The sequence below is a fragment of the Homo sapiens genome, chromosome 2, assembly GCF_000001405.40.
Source record: "Homo sapiens chromosome 2, GRCh38.p14 Primary Assembly".
Taxonomy (NCBI): Eukaryota; Metazoa; Chordata; class Mammalia; order Primates; family Hominidae; genus Homo; species Homo sapiens.
This window is the reverse complement of record NC_000002.12, coordinates 141,459,812-141,475,385: the sequence shown is the minus strand read 5'-3', so window position 1 is coordinate 141,475,385 and position 15,574 is coordinate 141,459,812. Positions and strand designations below refer to the sequence as shown.

The 15,574-nt window shown below is 35.1% G+C and overlaps 1 protein-coding gene and 2 long non-coding RNA genes across 5 annotated transcripts in view; 1 reads left to right on the top strand and 2 right to left on the bottom strand.

Annotated features, from left to right (window-relative positions):
- The window catches only part of LRP1B (LDL receptor related protein 1B), a 1,899,594-nt gene that overhangs the window by 655,631 nt on the left and 1,228,389 nt on the right, over positions 1-15,574 (top strand). The window lies entirely within an intron of this gene.
- Positions 284-5,572, bottom strand: LOC124906079 (uncharacterized). The gene is made up of 3 exons (XR_007087248.1): positions 5,516-5,572; positions 4,293-4,349; positions 284-360 (listed from the first exon to the last, which is right to left on the bottom strand). It is a non-coding gene; the product is annotated as an uncharacterized LOC124906079 (long non-coding RNA).
- On the bottom strand, positions 7,122-15,263 carry LOC105373649 (uncharacterized). The gene is made up of 4 exons (XR_001739134.2): positions 15,178-15,263; positions 9,515-9,625; positions 9,026-9,075; positions 7,122-7,177 (listed from the first exon to the last, which is right to left on the bottom strand). It is a non-coding gene; the product is annotated as an uncharacterized LOC105373649 (long non-coding RNA).

Genomic DNA, 15,574 nt, shown 5'->3' with positions numbered 1-15,574 from the left:
GGTAAGTTATTTATTTATTTAGACAGAATCTTGCTCTGTTGCCCAGGCTGGAGTGCAGTGGCATGATCTCAGCTTATGGCAACCTCCCCCTCCCAGGTTTAAATGATTCTCCTGCCTCAGTGTCCCAAGTAGCTGGGATTACAGGCCTGTGCCAACAGCTAATTTTTGTATTTTTAGTATAGAGGGGGTTTCACCATGTTGGCCAAGCTGGTCACAAACTCCTGACATAAAGTGATCCACCTGCGTTGCCTCCCACAGTGCTTGGATTACAGGCGTGAGCCACCACACCTGGCCCCCAAGTGCTAATATATTTAAATGTCTGTGGGAATGACAGTCTCTGTGGCAGCATCTGCCCTTATCCTGTTAAAAGAATATAGAAAGTTCAGAGGTCAGTGAAAAGAGGAATTCTACCTTTTATATCACTAGCAAAAGTGACTATTCAATCTATGTAATTGTTTTCTAGCAAACATTCTGAAGTCCTTTTAAATCTAAGAGAATAACATGTGTGAAGATTTTACTAAAACTGATTGGAGAAAAAAAACTCTGACATATGAAAAGCTCACCCCCAAAACATACAAATACATACACACATACTCATCTTTTCTTATATTTTGTTTTTCTATTCTGAACATTTTCCTGTATGATTATTAGTATATGACATAATTAATTGGCATATTTGATCAGTAAACTAAAAAAGAAAAAGATCCCCTTATATAACAACCAACTCCTTAAAATAATGCATATTCAGACTTTTAAATTACATTTGATTATTTTACTTTACTTTCCAGTTGGAAAATAACTTTCCTAATATATGCAATTGCATTTTTTCTTAATCCACTCATAATCTATTGTCAATAATTCTAATGTATTTAATTTAGATGATAACTTCTGTTAATTAAAAATTTATGTAGCTGGTTTTTTACTTTTATATTTCTATCCATAAAACGAAACTCTTATGAAAAGTGCTAAAAAAAATCCTGGGGGTGATTTAGAACTTAGAGGCATTCTCAAAATGGACCAAGCTAAATGGTAGCCTTTATTTTCTGTAATGATTCACCATGGGAAAATTAGTAATTCTTTAAACTTCTTACTTAATCTTATATGTATTCCAAATTTTCTAAAAAGAAATTAACCTAGAGGTTTTACAGAACTCCATTTTTTTTTTATTTTCCAGAAAGGAAAAATTTATCTGTGCTGTTATTTTGTTAAAAATCCTATTCCAGCTACTACTATGGAAAAAGGAAAAGAAGAAAGGAGGAAAGGAAGGGAGAGAGGAAAGGAAGGGACGGAGGAAAGGAAGGGAGGGAGGAAAGGAAGGGAGGGAGGGAGGAAGGAAGGAAAGGAAGGAAGGAAGGAAGGAAGGAAGGAAGGAAGGAAGGAAGGAATTTAGTAAAGCTACTGAAGAAGAAAAATGAATTTGCAGCTCTTTATTGTTGTTTTTAATTTTACTTAATTAATCTTGTCATAGCCTCATTTTAAAAATTTCATTAAAATATAAAATCATACTATAGAGTGGAATTTCAGCATGCAGAATTCCAAAACAAAGGTATGGAGAAGAGGTATATAGTTGCATAACACTTGCAATGTTATAGTAAGTGTATCTGTCATCAACACTGAGCTTAAAGCACAGGGAGGGAAACCTGTGCTCAAGTGACTTGAAACATCAATAAGTCTACAGCTAAGAAACAAAGAAGTGGAATTACCCAGGAAGACCTAGGTTTGTGAGCTCAGAACACTTTTGATTAGTAAAGCTCTTACAAGTTAAGAGTAGATTCTGCTGTATTTTCTCTGTGTTGAGCTGTGCTAAGGTGATCAGATAGTCTCAAGCCTATCTCAGGTGTAAGGATTTCCACTCAAAGAGATTAGTTTAAGTAACTGAGTTAGTTTAGTGAAAGGCTATGACCCTTAACACTACCTGATTTCAGGGCCAAGCTTAAAGCTTCCCAGAAGCAAAGCAACAATTTCTAGAAAGAATAGAACTTCTATAGGTGTTTCATCCTTTTGAAAGACCTATACCACTATTGTTTATATTGACAAATGACACCTACATGAAATTAGGATTGTGCACTTATGGAGGACTGCTCTAAATATATATGTGTATATGTGTGTATATATAAACGTATATACACATGCATATTTGCACATATGTATGTATGTATGTTCATTTTTTCAGGGACTTAGTTTTATAAATTCTGTTTAATTAGAAATATGCTTTTTTTGCAGACATCTGACTTCTTAACACTGATTTATAAGGCATAATTGCTAAATTAATACTGCTAAAGAGACTTAGAATTCAAGTTTAAAAATGTTCGAATATGTTGACAGAAGGGGCAGCTAGCTAACTAAGTAAATACCTCTGGGGAAAGGATGACTAAGTAATTTGACCCTACGTTGTAGCTGAGAATTCAAAAGGTAGTCTAAAATAGTTAATTGTTGATTGGAAGTTAATTCCTTTGTCATAGATTTACATCTTTGATGAATGTTAATATTATATTAAAAACATGTTCTCTTCCTCCAAACAGAATTATTTTTTAAGAATAACTATGGAAACAAAAAAAAATTGTAAATTTTTACAAATGGTGTAAACTGCCTACTAGTAGTTTAGAAATGATCACAGAAGGCTTTAAGTTAAAAGGAGGTATTCTTCATTAAAACATCATTTCAGATTCTGTATCTGTCCCTCTTCTTAGACAATAGTGGTTTCAAATGAAGTTACATTACTTCTATAATTTTTTATCACAGCTTTTCTGTAGTGAGATTCCTGGTGCATTATGGATCTTCATTTGTTGCTGCAATATACTCTATTTTCAGTTAATTTTGATTTGATTTGATTTTAATTTTTTTTGAGATGGAGTCTTGCTCTTGTCACCCAGGCTGGAGTGCACTGGTACAATTTCAGCTCATTGCAACCTCCACCTCCGGGGTTCAAGTGATTCTCCTGCCTCAGCCTCCCAAATAGTTGGAATTACAGGCATCCAGTACCACGTTTGGCTAATTTTTGTATTTTTAGTACAGACGGGATTTCACTGTCAGGCTGGTCTCGAACTCCTGACCTCAGGTGATCCACCCGCCTTGGCCTCCCAAAGTGCTAGGATTACAGGCATGAGCCACTGTGTCCGGCCAATTTTAAATAGGTGTAAGTCAACAACATGTATCCATTGCTCCCACCCCAATAAAATATTTATTCTGTGTGTATACCTGGTATCTGTAGTAGAAGAAATAGCAACTGCTTTGATATGGAGATTTACCCCTTGGTGCAAACAACTCCTATTATTTCTACCTGTTTCTCAAACGTACTAGCCTCTTAGCTGGAAGTCTTGTGTGAAATCACAAAAAGCCAGAAAACTCAACTTCCTTCGGACAAGTAATCTCTCCCCAGTTGAAGAGACATATTAATGTTCTACAACTCTTGATAGTGTTAATTTATATGAATATTTATAGGCCCTGGTAGCCTGTGTTTATCTAGATATTTCCTTCATCTTTCTCATCTTGATAGTGGAAAACAAAGAATGTAGAAAATATAATGAGTATGAGGCCAAAAAGACTTTTTAAAATGTGCCAATAGAAATACAGTAAGGACTTTTCCAAAATTCAATTGATTAATCAACTTCAATAAAATTTTGTTTGCAGTGACAATATTCCAGATATTTAGCTAAATACCAGGGATTCAGAAAGACATATTTTCTGCCTTCATGGAATTCACATGTAGTAATTGAGGTAGGTAAAAATTAAAGAGGAAGAATAAGACGAGAAACATCTAATTCTACATGAGAAGATGCAAGAAGATATCCCAAGTGAGCTGATGGTTGACAGGCATCTCACTCTAAGCATTGGGTAGGCAAATGAGGAAAGGAAGAACATTACAAAACTAGGGAACTACATATACAGAGGCATAAGTGCAGGATAAAGTATTGTATGTTCAAGATCTCTAAGTTATTGGGTAAGGTTGAAGCATACATACTTGAGTGTAGTGAGAGGAGTTTGAACCTGAAAAAATACTCAGGAATAGACCAAGAGGAGTTACATTAGAATAGGTATACAGTATGACTTATCTAAAATGCATTTCATAGAACCACAAAAAGCAAGAGAGTAAAAAAAAAAAAAAAAAAAAAAAAAATACCAGGGTATATTCTCAATAGTATTTTAAGGGTGTTATATGAAATTGTTTTAATATTAAGCATATAGTAGCTAGAATTGTTGCATATGTGTAGCAGGTTGCATAGTTTATTCTTAGAAAATATATATGTGCATTACTGTAATTATAAAACTTGGAGATAAACAGTAATCCTTACCTCACATTGATCAACTCCAGAATGGATGCACATTACATGTTGTTCTTTAATGTGTCACTTGGATGTAGTTTGTGTAAATGAAAGTCAAAATCGACAACATGAGGAGCCATATTAAGCAAAATCCTTTTCAAATAACATTTAGAAATTTGGAAGGTATGTTTACTATTTTAAGCAACCATAATTTCACCATTAGCAAGCTACTAAAATACTACCTTGTTATAACATGCCTAAATTTTGTCCTCTTGTCCTTTAACTTTGAAAAATATATCATTGTTTTAATATTATTCAAAAGTATGAATTATAACAAACTGTCACTCAGCTCTCTACTCGACCTCAACTGTGAGGCCAAATCCCGTATGATTCATTATTTGGTTTTTTGACACAGCAGCTTGATATTTAAAAAGCAAGGAATTAAAGCAGGAAGCTGAAGTTGAATGGCATCCCCAAGAGTCACACTGGAAATCAGCTGGAAAGCAAGCGTTAAACCCTGTGACCTTGAGTTTTCCTTCACCAATTTTGACTACTGGGCCTTAACATATCAACCCAGAGAAGTGCATAACATTATGATGCTTCAGCATCCTCCTGACCCATTCTCAAAGCAGCAAGATGGCTTGTAGAATTTCAACTGAAGACATTTTTCAGCTAACTATATATTCCCTGTCAGGTTTATTAATTGATTGAAAAGGAAAAAAATGTGCTGAGCAAACAACAGGCTGAACAACTATGTAACTAGCTTGAAGTATTCAATGTCTAAATCTTACTAGTAGCTTATCCCTTTGAGAAAAATTAGTGCTTTCATTTGGTGAAGAATGTGGAAGGGAACTGTTCATTTTGACTCTTTGAAGTAGATCTGCACCAGTAACAATAAGAAGTTAAAAAACTTTAGAAATTTCAACTTTCATGATGGAATCTGGAAGAAATAAAGAGAGATTTCTCAAAGTCATTCAATAGAGAAAGTTTAAATTTTGAATAATGTATTCCCACGGGGGATACATTCCAAGATCCCATGTGAAGGCCTGAAACTGTGGATGGTACCCAATCTTATACAGACTATGTTTTTTCTATACATGCATACCTATGATAAAGTTTAATTTATAAATTAGGCTCAGTAAGACATTAACATCAATAATCATAAAATAGAACAATAACAATTTACTGTCACAAATGTTTTATAAACGTGGTCTCTTTTTCTCTCTCAAAATACCTTATTGTACTATATTTACCTATTTTCAGATGACAGTTGACTATGGCTAACTCAAACCTCAGCCCGTCAAACCCTGGAAAGTGAAACATTGAATAAGAAAGGACATTCCAATGAGAATTAACCATAAATATTTAGAAGACTTGAGATCTGTTGAGCCTAATCTGTCATTCTAGTAAATCTTACAAATTCTATAGAGAAAGCTCATAAGAGATTTTCAGCCAGTGTTTTCATTTCTGAATTTCTAATATTTTCATAATTGTAAAAAATACTATTTTTGTGGCTTTTTAAATAATCCATTATTTTCACTTATACAGTAAACCCTATTCCATGGAATCGCATGGAAGGAATCCAGACACAGCTGGAAGACCTTATTCCATGAGCCATAATAAAATGGGCCCTCATGGAAAATGGAATCTGCTGGTACCTTGATCTTGGACTTTCTAGCCTCTAGAACTAAGAAATAAGCTGCCTTTGTTTAAGCTACCAAGCCTCTGGTATTTTGTTATAACAGCACAAATGAACTAAAATAACAGAATATTGCAATACATTAAGTAATATTCTGAAAAATGAAACAGCTATGAGACTGGTTACTTCTGAGCTCACCGTAGTCAGTCTTTTCAGAATCAGATCAAACAATTATTTCTTTTTCACTCTTGTGGAGATACAGAGACATATGCACGTATATTATACATTTCCAAACTTTTGGCATACATTTGCATATTTGAATTTAGATGCAAGAAATTCTTCATTAGTGACTAATATTTTAGTGAAAGTAAATCACCCAGATTTATTTGCATTAGCTGAGAATTTGTGTTCTAGCTTTCCATTAGGCTTGCGATTAAGAAAAATCTTGAAACCAAATGATTGATCTCTTTATGCCACAAGGGATTGTAGAACCGGTCCAACAACCCACTGTGGTTGTAAAAAACCATGAAGCGGCAGACCAAAGAGAGATCAATCTGCTCTGCTTAACGAGCTTCTTCTGGATTAGGTCATTGTGCTTGCGAGCCAAGGCTTGAGTGTCGGATACAAGGAGAATGGGAAGGACAAGCCCTAAAGAGCAATTTTTACTCCCATTAGCTGAAATGTGTGGTGTGTTCTTATTTAGAGTACAGTACAGGTACAAAACCAGAAAGTGCCAAGAAAAAATCTATACAGTTCAATAAATGACTCTGAGAATTCTCCAATATTCTCAGAGCAGTAGCTCTAAGAACTTGAATTGTCTGATTTTTAGTTAGGTTAATTAAATATTACTTTAGTGGTCTCAAAGAAGTTTGGAGAGAAATATTAATAGGTATAAATTCTCTTTATTCTAAATGGTATATGTAAAATGATCCCCAAATATTTATTATATGTAGAATTAAATATACAATTTGTTTTATATAAATGTATACAGAAATATATGTGTGTATATAGACTGTGTGTATAGAAATATATGTGCACTCTATCAAATTTTCCTAGCCTGTGTCTATTGGATATCCAGATAAAATGATTATTTAGAGAATTAAAAATAACTTATCCTTTTATACTCTTCAACTGGGTTTGTTTCATTTGTTCCCATTTTCAAAACCAGTGTAAGATGAGGTTTGCACTAGTCATGCTCTTGCTTTGACTCCTGTGTCCTCCTTTCCGCCAATGACTTCAGTTCCATTTCAGTAAGTCAGGGTTGTATTCCACCCATCTAAATTAATTATGCAAAACAGAATGTGCAGAACCAAGAGGAATATGTTTGGGATAAAATTCTAATGTTGCCTAACACAATATAACTTACATTTTGATGTGAGCTTTTCATGCAAATGTGCCTTGGTTTAATTTGTCTTTTCTTCCCATGTATAAGTTTCATACCCCTACTAGATTGGAAACATCTAAAGAAACATAGTTTACTTCTATCCAGTCACTTGACTGGAAAGACCCATCAAACTGGGCAGAGATGACAAACATACGGGGAACCATGAGGGAGTGATAGAGTGTAAAGGTGTAGGGATTGCTTTGCAGAACAACTTCTAGGGATAGTATGTGCTACACTGTATGCTGGAATTCCCCCCCCCCCGGTCCGCAAACAAACAAACAAACAAACAAACAAACAAAAAGCAGTGTGCTTTTTGTCAGGAATATTTATGCCTGCATTTCACCTAAAATGATTTGCTCCTTTCAGTTTTGTTTCTTATTTACCAGAAATATCTGCAATGTGCAGAAGGGAAGTACAGGTCTCCTTGATGACTATAACTACAAATAGAGAAGCAGCAATAACTTTCTCTCAGTGCAAAATAGACTTGTTGGATAATAGGGCCAGAAGGGACTTTCAGAGGTCATCAGTTCGTCTATCTGCCTTCAGGCTGGACTGAAACCAAACTCACCTAGACAGATTGCCATCTACCTTATGCCTTCAGGGAAAGAAATTCTAATAACCATTTTTAGTTACATGGTCAATGCTTAGCAATTTGTACTATGTGCAAATACTTGCATTTTGTATCATAATATTTTCTAAGCCCTCTTAGTTTTTAGCCTGTTCCTTCTAACAGATTCTATACTCCTGTAACTTCATCATGCTTTTCTTTCACTTCTCCAAATAGTTTTAAAGTTTCCAAACCTCCGAAGTTATAAACCATCGGTACTTACTAACCCAGACACAGTTTATTGACTGTCTATTACCCACGTAATTGGCTGTCATAGTTTCTGACTGCTATAATTCCCCCCGCGCTCTCTCTCTCAGGTAGATATTTAATACACCTGAGAGGATATATATATATATATATATATATATAGATATATATATATATATATATACACATATATATGTGTGTGTGTGTGTATATATATATCCTGGGGAGCCAGTGAGGGCTACATATGTAGCAAAAAACTGGCAAATACCTAGATAAATGTCCATAAAGGATAGTTCCTGGGGAGCCAGTTAGGGATATATATATATATATATATATCCCCTGAGCACTTCCTTTTCACTTATGCCATATCAGTCAGGAATTGTGTTTGGCTGGGAATAACTGAGATCTTTAAAAGACTGGATTAAAAAAAAAAGTAGTTTTACAGAATTTTACATTTTCTTTCATATTAAAAAAAGGTTATAGATAGACATTCCATTGAAGGTAAGGCAATTCCGTATGTGACTCGGGTCCCAGACTCCCTTATTTCTGTTCTGCAATCCTTGTCACTTGGCTTTCATCCTCAAGGTAGCAAAATGGCCAAAAAATGGCCACTGCAGCCCTAAATATCACATCCACATTCCAGGAGGAAGGAAGAAGACCAAATTATCCCTACCAAGCAACTTATTTTCTTCTTAAGGAGCTTTCCAGAAGCCTGATTAAACACAGTATCTACCTTTATCCCATTGATCAGGATTTTAACTAACACACAGCCACCCTTATTTGCAAGAAAGACTGGGAGATGTATCTTTTCAAGAGGGTAAACACTGCTTCAATAAAATCAGATTTGGAAGAAGAAGATAATGGATATTTGATAACAACTAACATTTCATGCTATACATGTTTTAATAGAGCAGTTAGTTACTCACTAGGTAGCTGCTGTAGTCCTACTATGCTTGATAAACTCTATGAGAGGACTCTAAAGGAAAGAAAGAGAGCTGGTCATTAATTAACTCTGTGGCTTTGATTACCAGTAAAAGAATAGGTTTGGACAGTATCACTGACTCCTTCAAGATATAAAATTATATAAACAAAAATATTTAGGCCGGGCGCAGTGGCTCATGCCTGTAATCCCAGCACTTTGGGAGGCTGAGGCAGGTGGATCATGAGGTCAGGAGTTCAAGACCAGCCTGGTCAAGATGGTGAAACCCCATCTCTACCAAAAATACAAAAATTAGCTGGGTGCAGTAGCAGGCACCTGTAATCCCAGCTACTCGGGAGGCTGAGGCAGAAGAATCTCTTGAACCTGGGGGACAGAGGTTGCAGTGAGCCAAGATCGTGCCATTGCACTCCAGCCTGGGTGAAAGAGTGAAACTCTGTCTCAAAAAAAATAAAAATAGTAATAAAAAAAAACATACCTGAGAGGTATAAAAGTCATGCTATAGGCCAGGCACAGTGGCTCACACCTGTAATCCCAGCACTTTGGGAGGCTGAGGCGAGCAGATGGCTTGAGTTCATGAGTTCGAGACCTGGAAAACATGGAAAAAACCTGTCTCTACAAAAAATACAAAATTTAGCCAGGAGTGGTGGTGCTTGCCTGTAGTCCTAGCTACTTGGGGGGCTGAGGTGGGAGGATGGCTTGAGCCTGGGAGGTGGAGGTTGCAGTGAGCCCAGATTGTGCCACTGCACTCCAGCCTGGGCGATAGAGCCAGACTTTGTCACCTTGTCTCAAAAAAAAAAAAAAAAGTCATGCTGTGCTGTAGCAAAAAACTGGCAAATACCTAGATAAATGTCCATAAAGGATAGCTCCTGGGGAGCCAGTGAGGGCTACCTGCGGCCTGAGGAAAGCCAGATTAATGGAGTTTAAGGGAAGAAAAGAAGATACTGATGTAGCCATCTCTTTCTGTCCCTCCTGCCCAGTTTCTTCCTTATTTTTTTTTCCATTTTTTCCCCATTTCTTTCCCTTTTTCTCTCCCCTCACACTCCCTAGCCACTGCATATCCCACACTTTTTCAGTCTTTATTTTCTCAGTTTTATGCCTTCAAATACAAGCTTACACTTGAGCCTTTTTTTAAAAACTTGTCTGAATTTCAAAGTCAGCAATTATTTCACATTTCTGGTCAGCCAACCCTACTTTAACATTGATTTTAACTGTGTTTTGTCAATGTGTATACTTTCTTTCTGTTTTATTTAATATATTGAGACTGCCAAGCTACATTAAATAAGTCAAGCCATGTTAAATTGTACTTATTCTCCTTCTGATGGTAAATTTCCTATCTTTTTTTTGTTTCCTTTCCTTAGCCCACTGATATTTGCACAAATAAACCCAAAACCTTTTTTTTATTGCTATTGATTTTTGTTTTATTTTGAAGGAGTTTTAGTTTTCCTTTTAATTTCAAATTCCATCAGGTGATTACTTCTAACACTTTTTACACCCCCAAATAAATCCCTATCAGTGAGATCTCAATTAAGAAAGCCATTCTTACCACATGGTTTTAGAGAGTAAATAGGCATTATATAGGCACTGGACCAGATCTTAATAAAAAGTCACAGCAAAGGGACGGGCGCAGGGGCTCGTGCCTGTAATCCCAGCACTTTGGGAGGCCGAGCCGGGTGGATCACTAGGTCAGGAGATAGAGACCATCCTGGCTAACACGGTGAAACCCCATCTCTACTAAAAAAATATATATATATATATATATATACAAAATTAGCCAGGCGTGGTGGCGGGCGACTGTAGTCCCAGCTACTCAGGAGGCTGAGGCAGGAGAATGGCGTGAACCCGGGAGGCAGAGCTTGCAGTGAGCCGAGATCATGCCACTGCACTCCAGCCTGGGGTACAGAGCGAGACTCCGTCTCAAAAAAAAAAAGTCACAGCAAAAACAACATATCAGATAGAATGCATAGTATATCCAATACACATTCCAATTTGTTCTAAAAATCCTTGATGTCTAAGTAAGAGAAGATAAAGATGGAAGAATTCAAAGTGCTTAGAGGAATCAAAGTTAGAAAAATGTTAGAGATTGTACCAAATTCCCTATGTATATTGCTCACTCATACATTTTTCTCTCGTTTTTAGCAAGGGTAAACTCACAGCAGTGTGGTGTTATGCTTCTTTTTTGAGTGGGCAGGTAAGAAAGTGGAGAAACTCTTGGGATGAGGCTAATGATGTCTTCACCTAACCAGTCAGTGTTAGGAAGACCTGTGTGGATTCGCCAGCCAGGACAGCATACTTTTTCTAGTATTAACAACTCATATCTTTTAGGAGCCTGGAACTGAGACAAATGTGGCTGAACTGCCGTTAGCAATATCTGCCAAACTTGAATGGCTGCATTTTTAGTTTATACATAGCACAGGATTTTATGGCCCCCCAAAATCAGAAAAAATTTGAGATATATCTATATATAAAATGATATATATTATATATAATTATATATTATATGTAATATTATCCAATTATATATATAATTTGGATAAATTTTATATATAGTTTAAATATAGGATAAATATTTGTTGAAATACAATCAACATAGGCCAGTCCTTGTTCTGAGGATATCCAAATGTTTCCTACCAATAGGGGGTTCTCATTATTGTATAGATACCACTTATTAGCAAATAATTTTAATATATATAATTATATATAATATATAATATATAATAATATATAATACATAATTATATATAATATATAATATATATTATATATAATTATATATAATATATAATATATATTATATATAATTATATATAATATATAATTTTATATAATATTTGTTTCTTTCCTGGTCAAAGTATTCTTTTTGAAATCTAGGCTTTTGCTATTTGACTGCTGAATTTTTCTCCCAAAGGTTATTTGGTACACAATGTATTTCTCCCTTTTTCTTCAATAGCTTTTTCTATTTTCATTTGTCATTTATGATTTGTGGCATGTAATAGTTTCAGTGAGAAATACTTCCCAAAGCAAACATAAATATTTCCAATGTCTAAAATTACAACAATTCTTTGCTATTCAGATACAGATGGAATATATAATCATTCTTTTGAAGAGGCAATTAGCACTTAGTTCAGTGACTTGGGATGTTCCAACTCTTTCAAGCTTTGTTTTATTCTTACTGCATTCAACCAAAGTACTACTTGTCCACAATGGACCAATACTAATCTAAACAAGAACTGCCTCAGGATTCTCAGTGACAGTTTACTAATGCAGAATATTAAACAAAGGGTCATCCAACTGTCTTTGTGAGGTCACAGAAATGTTATTTCCTTAGCACTGACCCAATATAGCTCAATAGTCAATTGTATTCAGTTGTGAAAAATTGTCAGAAGTTTTCCTCTTTTAAAAAATTACAAAATATACTGATATCATAGTTGTGAATTGCTATTGTTTATGATCATGTTTTATGATATAATAGCCATTCATACTTAAAATTTTAAATTTTATTACTTATTTACTTATTTTTCAATTAAAATATTTTATTGTTGGCTTTGGGCAGCGGGTTACTACTAGTATAGTAACAATAAGACAGCGTATAGAAACTTAAACTTTCTTTGTCTGTAAGTTAAGCTTTATTTTATTGTAGAAAGATAAGGAGAGGATGGGGTAATTTCACCTGTTATTTATTAATTTTTTTATTTTTTTGAGTTCTGAGATACATGTGCAAAACGTGCAGATTTATTACATAGGTATACATGTGCCATGGTTGTTTGCTATGTCTATCAATCTGTCATCTAGGTTTTAAGCTCTTTATGCATTAGGTATTTGTCCTAATGCTCTCCCTCCCCTTGACCCCCACCCCCCAACAGGCCCTGGTGTGTGATGTCCCCCTCCCTGTGTCCATGTGTTTTCACTGTTCAACTCCCACTTATGAATGAGAATATGCAGAATTTGACCTGTTCTTATTGTACAATAGGAGGAGAATGTATTTGAACTAAGATTAGATATGAAGCTATAATTGAACTGATGTGTTAAAGATCAAATAAATGCTCAGCTTTAGGTACTGTTGGAATTAACTTAGAATTATTTTAAAAGTACCTCTGTGGAGGCCTAGCAATATAGAGCTGACTTGGTGCCATTAATGTAATCACAATTGATGGGCTAGACAAGGAACTACAAATGAAATATATATGGATGGATGATCCAGCAAATAAAAGACAACACATTGTATGTCTGAGAGAAGGCTTTCAGGAGGAAAATTGATTTATACCAACTTTATTAAAATATTTTTGAAACCTGACAAATTGGTTCTGGAGACTGAAGTTGCAGTGAAGTTAACAGCCAAAAGGCAGGAAAATGGTATAAGATGAACATTACATTTTTGTGCTTTGAATGCAGGGATTAATCTGGCCTAGGTAAGGAAAAATAGTTTGAGAGAAGATAATTTTCAGAGTTGACTCAATGTTAGCTACTTTGTACGATGACAAAGTAATTATTCACTTCAACATCCTCATGCCACATTTGTGGTTAGATGATGAAAACTGTGTCTTAAATTAATGGGAGCTAAATCATGTATGGAAAAGGAAGGTTGTCTTCCAACAGAGGGGGATATTGAAGTGTCTCAGAGACTTATTTTCTTCAGAATTGTACATTTATGCTACTTTCATGTTCTTCGTAGATTCAGTCTTCAAAAGTATGGTTGCTTTGTTTATATTTTATTTACCTGTCTGGATAAATATTTGTTGAAATACAGTCAACATAGACCAGTCCTTGTTCTGGGGATATCCAAATGTTTCCTACCAATAGGGGTTCTCATTATTGTATAGATACCACTTATTAGAGATAATTTTAAACATATGTGTATATATAGACTTTCATTTCCCTACTATGCTATTTCTTCACTTTCATTCATTGTCTCCATTTCTACTACTTTTCATCTCTATTAAGCATACTGCAGTCAAGCTTTCATTTCTATCATTCCACTGAAGCCGCCTTGTCAAGTTCATCAGTAGTATCTGTATTGGTATAACCATTGGTCAATTTTAAAATGTCCTTTTAATTTTTCTATCAATAGTTTTTGACAAAGTTGATCAGTTCCTCCTCCTTCACTTGCCTTTCGGGAAACCACCACAGTCTCTTGGTTTTCTTCCTAGTTCACCATTGTGCCTTTTGAGTCTCCTTCACTTTTCCCATTTCCCCTTATGCAGGCTCTGTCCTTAGCTGAGTTCTCTTCTCTATTTAATTTACTTGCTTAGTGATCTCATTTACTCTCATGGCTTTAAAGATCATCTATGTGCCAATGACTCTCATTTTTTTTTTTCCAGTCTAGCTCACTCTTTAACTGCAAAGAGAGTTGGCTATGTGTACCCAAGTGCCATCTCCACTTGGATGTCTAATAGATATCTCCAACTCAACAGACCCAAGTTCTAATTCAACAAACCCAAGATCTTCCCCACCCCTGAGAACTATTATAGCTTTTTCCTTCTCAGTTGGGGGCAGCTCTTTTAGTTTCTCACACTAAAAACATTACAGAGATCCCTGACTTTAAAAAAATTCACCGTATTGAATTCTTCAGGATATATTATTAGCTATACCTTTTAAAAATACCCAAATTCTTATCACTTTTCACTAGCCCAACTGCTACTATCTAGGTTGAAACCACAATTATCTTGTACTTGAATAACTGTAATAACCATATAATTGATTTCTCTTATTCCAAATATTGTTATAAATATATTATCTTCTCAATACAGTATCCAAGTAGTCCTTTAAAAACTTGAATCAGATTATATCAGGACATAGCATTACTTTATTTAAAACTTACCCATGGGCTGCACATTACATTCAAAATGAAACGTAAACTCCTCCAATGACAGTTGAAACCCTGTATAACCTTGCTACTTATTTGTCTGACCTCATCTCCAATTACTGTTTCTCAGCCCCATAATTGCCAATTCTTCCAAGTATGTTGGCCTTGTTATTTTTTAATTATATCAGGGATACTTCTACCTTACATTTTTGGCATGAACTGTTCCCTAAATAGGGAAACAAAGAGTGTTGTTATGAATGTTGGATTCATTGAGAATGATTGTAATAAGAAAGAGCTGAAGAGCTAATGGATGATTGTAGTAGTGGAAAATTGATTACCTTGGATGATAATTAAATTGGTAAATTTTTTAAGGGAAGAAAATACTTATTTCTTCAAGTTGAATGTAACGCATTGTCAATTGCTTTCAGGAAGATCATGAGAAAACACTGTTCACAATCTTAGGAAGCAGCTAAAATTTAGGTTTCTGAGTGTTTAATACATTTGTTTTAGTGCTTTATTTGATTTAGAATTCTGAGACCAATATGAGACACCATAGCCTTCTAGAATTTTTACTATGGTGACACAAATCTTCATCTCTCTTGTCTTCTATCCATCCACAACATCATATTTTCCTGACACTCAAGTAAAGAACAAAAGTGAAAGTTTGCATATCCATGCCTTCTGGATTAGTCCATTTTCATGCTGCTGATAAAGACATACCCAAGACTGGGCAAT